The sequence below is a fragment of the Homo sapiens genome, chromosome 9 (genome assembly GCF_000001405.40).
Source record: "Homo sapiens chromosome 9, GRCh38.p14 Primary Assembly".
NCBI classification, from domain to species: domain Eukaryota; kingdom Metazoa; phylum Chordata; class Mammalia; order Primates; family Hominidae; genus Homo; species Homo sapiens.
The window spans coordinates 103018489-103024746 of NC_000009.12; positions in this window are offsets into that span (position 1 = coordinate 103018489).

Below are 6258 nucleotides of genomic sequence, written 5' to 3' on the forward strand. Positions count from 1 at the left end.
GTTATTTGTGTCTAAGTTTCAGTGAGTTATGACCTACCTCATAACCATCTACACATGGTTGTCAATGGCACTGGTTTTGCTAAATTATTAAAACAGTCTTTGTTAAAATTACTTAATTTTCCTATCGTTCTACCTGGACCTGGTCTTCAGTTCAGTATGGAAGGTATGGAAGAAATCTGTTCTCCTTTACCACACAATTTCTTTATCAGAACTAGTAGCTTCTGTCATTATAAAGCTGGGTTAAAGTGCATACCACACTCAGGCTTGCTCAAAGTTTGCAGTCGTGTGTATGACATTATGCCCTGATTTCAACACTTTTCATTTTATGTTTTTCTATTTTTGTAATTTGGGTTGGTTCTTATATAGATTTAAAATTTTTCATTTACTGTAAGCTACCATTCCCAGAATTCCCTCTTTAAAAGATTGATTTCTGCTTGGATTATCTGAAGATATCTAAAGATAAAGAATTCAGGCCCCTAGTTCCTAGTTTTTCCCACTATATCATCTCTCTCCTTGACAGTTTGCAGTTTAGCAAATAAATTTTGTGGACACGTAGCCCTTTTGAGTTAACACAAAACCTTCATCAGTTTTCTTGTCAAGAAAACTAAAACCTATATTATTAATATCAAGCCATTAAAATTTCTTCTTAAAGGGATCACTTTTGAATTTTAAATATTCTTCAAAGCAAATTTACACCATTACAATCTGGCCCTGATTTTATTGTTCAATCTTATTCCCATATTTCTTCTTTTCATCTTTCTACTTTACTTTCTTTCCATCTTACTACTCCATTTTTTTCCTTCAATCCAACAAAACATGCCAACATTCCTTTTTTATTTTTTTGTAAACAGTTTTGAGGTAAAATTGATATTAAGAAGCTGAATATATTTAATGTACTTTATTTAATGAGTTTGGCATGTGAACACATCCTGAAGCCATCACTATAATCAGGGAATAGACATATTCATCTCCAAAAATTTCTGGGGTTTTTTGTTGCTTTCTTTTGTTTTGTGGTAAACACTTAACATGAGATCTGTCCTCTTAACAAAGTTTTAAGTTTGTAACACAATATCGTTGACTGTAGGTACTATACTGTTGAGCATATGCATAGAAGTAATTCAGCTTAAATAACTGTAACTTTATACCACATCCCCACATGCTCCTTCCCCTGGTCCCCAGTAACCGCCTTTGTACTTTGTATTTTCTAATTCCATGAGTTTGATTATTTTTGGTATATCATATATGTAGAATCATGCAGAATTTGTCCTTTTGTGACTGACTTACTCAGCATAATGTCGTTAAGGTTTATCCATCTTGTCACATATGGCAAATTTTCCTCTTTTTAAAAACTCTGAATAATAGTCTGCTGTATGTCTGTATTACATTTTCTTTATTCATTCAACTGTCAATGAATGAGCTGTTTCCATAGCTTGACTATTGTAAATAGTGCCACAATGATCATGGAAGTATAGATCTCTTAGAGATTCTGATTTCAATTATTTTAGGTAGATACCCAGGAATGAGATTGCTGGATCATATAGTCTTCTATTTTTAATTTGTGGAAAACTTTTCATACAATTTCCCGTAGCAGCTGCACCATTTTTGAATTGTCAGCAAGAGTGAGATAGGTTTCAAATTTTTCCGTAACTTCACTAACATTTGTTATGTTTTGTTGATAATAGCCACCCTAACCGATGCAAAGTGATATCTCATTATGATTTTATTTTGTAATACTCTGATATTGATGTTGAGCATTTTTTCATATACCCATTGACCATCTGTATGTCTTTTTGATACATGTCTATTAAGATTTTTACCCATTTTTAAATGAAATTATTATGCTATTGAGTTATATGACTTCCTTATATATTTTGTATATTTCTTATTATATACATGGTTTGCAAATACTTCTTTAATTTCATATGTTAAGTTTTCACTGTACTGATTGTTTCTTTGCCGTACAGAAGCTTTCTTAGTTTGCTGTATTTTCTTGTCTATTTTTTTATTTTGGTGGCATATCTAAGAAATTATTGCCTAGCCCAATGTCAATAAGATTTTCTCCTGTACTTCCTTACAGCAGTTTTACAGTTTTAGGTCTTACATTTAAATCTTTAATCTATTTTAATTTGATATTTGAGTATGGTATAAGGGTCCAATTTAACAATTCTTTTTTTTCCCCAAAATATATTTTAAACTTTCCGTCTTTGGTGTTTTTACCAAACTGTTTACTTGACCTGGAATATCACTTTCTTTTATTGAATTTGTCAAACATCTGTATATTTTCCAATGTCCCTATTTAGACAGTAGCTTCACAGGAAATTTCCAGATCATCTTCTATAATCTGTGCCTAATTCTCTAGATGGGTATCTGATAAGGAGATTGACATATTTCCCTATCTTTATAAGCAGGAATCAGCAAAAATATTTAAAATATTATAATTCTTTCTTAGGACCAGTATTTAAATTCTCCATCAATTTATCTAAACAAGGTTGACTTCATTGCAATTTGATCAGTGAAGCTGTGTCCGGACCAGTGCTCAAAATGCCCTGCACCTGGAGTAAATATTCTGCAGTCATCATTTTGAAAATATTAATATTTTAATTTTTGAGCATCTGTATTGCAAATGAAATCCCACCAGACAATGTGGGCTGGGAGGAGGTAGGGTCAGATCCAAGTGAGGGCCCTGAAGGATCTGGAGATGGGAAAGGTAGCAGCCTTCTCTGACTCAAGTAGCCAGCTCTATTGGGCCATCCAACAAGATTTGCTAGCACCTCTCATTCACTCCCATCCACATACTAAGCACATCCTCTCATGGCATCTGCAATCCCTTGGTGGTTTTCAAGCTGCCATGGTTTGGAGTGGTGAGCTTTGGGAGAAAGGGAGACTGACTTCCTGTCACTGGCCAGAGTTTTGCATTTTCATTTTGTATTGAGCCCCTCAAATTATGTAGTTGACGAGCCTCTAATATATCTCCCAGCAACAATCTAGTCAATGATTAATTCTATACTAATTATTCTAAGGTAATTGAAGTTCTCTTTTCCCCTGATATTCACACAGTTTTGTTGTGTTTTGTTTTAACACAGTCTCACTGTGGATTGCCCAGGCTGGAGTGCAGTGGCAGGATCATGACCTCCTGGGCTGAAGCAATCCTCCCACCTCAGCCTCATGAGTAATTGGAAACACAGGTGTGTGCCACCACGCACGGCTACTTTAAATTTCCTTATTTTTTTTTTTGAAGAGATGGGTTCTCCCTATGTTTCCCAGGCTTGTTTTGAATGCTTGGGTTCAAGCTGTCCTTCTGCCTTAGCCTCCCGAAGTGTTGGGATTACAGGTGTGAGCCACCATGCTAGCCTCACATGGCTTAATACCAAATTAAACAATAGCAACACAGAAGGTTAAAGACATTCCATAGCCATTGATTACATTTCTTTTTCTCTTAAATGGTTTCAAGAAATACTGTTATTGTATTAAATTGAACTAATATTATTCTGAAGACAATATTTATATGTGCCTAAATAATTAGAAAGCATATTATAAATGTAATCTGAGAAAAAATATTCTATATTTAAAAGTTGTAAAGAGACATTTCAATGTAATGTGGTAGACAGAACATGTGTCTAGATTCTAGACTTCCTATTTTCTACCTGTGTATTATTGAAATATTTTTGTTTCCAAATCTTAACTATTTATTTATTTATTTATTTATTTATTTATTTTTAATTTTTTTTAATTTTTTTTTTATTATACTCTAAGTTTTAGGGTACATGTGCACATTGTGCAGGTTAGTTACATATGTATACATGTGCCATGCTGGTGCGCTGCACCCACTAACGTGTCATCTAGCATTAGGTATATCTCCCAATGCTATCCCTCCCCCCTCCCCCGACCCCACCACAGTCCCCAGAGTGTGATATTCCCCTTCCTGTGTCCATGTGATCTCATTGTTCAATTCCCACCTATGAGTGAGAATATGCGGTGTTTGGTTTTTTGTTCTTGCGATAGTTTACTGAGAATGATTTATTTATTTATTTAAACCTAAAAACGTGCCTGAAAATTTACTTTCTCAATAAATCTTAGTCACTTTCTCTCTCTAAAATAATTATCTTCATTTTTAACTTGGAAAGCTTATTGAGCTGCTAATTAGCTCCTAAAATATGTCCCATAGGGCATGGATATAAATCAGAACATTGAAACAAAAAGAACAAAATTAATCCTCAAAATTAAGTGGAAAATTTAGACTTCCCAAAGGATCTGAGGAACGAGTAGATGGGGCCTTAGAGAAAAAAAGAGGCAAAAACAGAAGATGATATAACTGGCATTCTATACATATTGATGGTTAGGAAGAATCGCAGAAAGACTTTTTAGGAAAATGGGTGAACTTTTAGTAGTTATATGGTAATGGTATACAGTAACCCTCATTAAAATATCCACCATACTCTTAAAAGTAATAAGTAGGCAAAGCTTTAAGCTGTAAGTTTGTACAGAATGACTGATGTGTGCCATGGTGGAGTTCCATGGTAACTAATGAGCGTGGCATAGTTTATCAACTGGATAAATTCATCAGGAGTAGGAACTCAGTCCAAATCTGTAAGCTCCCTGTACTTGTACTTCTTTGCTGGAGAAAATGAAATAAGAACTAGCACTAAAAAATAGGAAATGCCTAGATCATATTAAATATATAACAGATACTATTATATATGACAAGAAACTACACTGAAACAGATTCTATCAACATACAAATAGAGAACCTGAGGCACAGAGAGGTGCTTTTCCCACTATCCCACAGATTATAAGGGGTAAAAGCAAGATTTGAACCATGACTCTTCATCTCTAGACCCCATGCTCTTAATCACTACATCATAGAACCTCTCTGCACTGATTCTTAGTTTGTGATATGGTTTGGCTCCGTGTCCCCACCCAAATCTCATCTTGTGGCTCCCATAATTTCCACATGTTGTGGTTTCAGATGGAGATGAGGAACTTGTTGAGAACCGGAGCAAAGGTGACATGTATTATGTTTTAGTAAAGAGACTGGTGCATTTCATCCCTGCTCTAGAGATTTGTGAAACTTTGACCTTGAGAGAAATGATTTAGGGTATCTGGCGGAAGAAATTTCTAAGCAGCAAAAGTGTTCCAGAAGTGACTTGGGTGCTGTTAAAGGCATTCAGTTGTACAAAGAAAGTAGAGCATAAAAGTTTGGAAAGTTTGCAGCCTGACATTGCCATAGAAAAGTAAATCCTATTTTCCGAGGAGAAATTCAAGCTGGCTGCAGGAATTTGCACAATTAACAAGGAGCCTAATGTTAATGGCCAAGACAATGGGGAAATGTCTTCAGGGCATTTCAGCAGTCTTCACAGCAGCCCCTCTCATCACAGGCCTGGAGATCTAGAAGAAAATAGTGGTTCCATGGCCCAGGCCCAGGATCCTCATGCTGTGTGCAGTCTGGGGACTTGGTGCACTGTGTCCCAGCCACTCAAGCTATGGTCGAAAGGAGCCAATGTAGAGCTTGAGCTGTGGCTTCAGAGGGTGCAAGCTTCAATCCTTGACAGCTTCCATGTGATGCTGAGACTCCAAGTGCAGAGAAGTCAAGAATTAGGGTTTGGGAACCTCCGCCTAGATTTCAGAAGATATATGGAAATGCCTGGATGCCCAGGCAGAAGTTTGTTGCAGGGGCAGGGCCCTCATGGAAAACCTCTGCTATGGCAGTGCAGAAGGGAAATGTGGGGTCAGAGTCCCCACACGGAGTCCCTATTGGGGCACTGCCTACTGGAGCTGTGAGAGGAAGGCCACAGTCCTCCACACCCCAGAATGGTAGATCCACTGACAGCTTGCACCATGCAAACGGAAAAGCCACAGACACTCAATGCCAGCCCATAAAGGCAGCCAGGAGAGAGGGTGTACCCTGAAAAGCCACAGGGGAGGAGCTAACCAAGACCATGGGGACCCATCTCTTACATCAACATGACTGGGATGTGAGAAATGGAGTCAAAGGAGATCATTTTGTAGCTTTAAGATTTGACTGCCCTGCCGGACTGTGGACTTGCATGGGGCATGTAGCCCCTTCGTTTTGGCCAATTTCTCCCATTTGGAATGACTGTATTTACCAAATGCCTGTATCTCCATTGTATCTAGGAAGTACCTAACTTGCTTTTGATTTTACAGGCTACTAGGCAGAAGGGAATTGCTTTGTCTTGGATGAGACTTTGGACTATGGACTTTTGAGTTAATGGTGAAATGAGACTTTGAGGGACTGTTGAG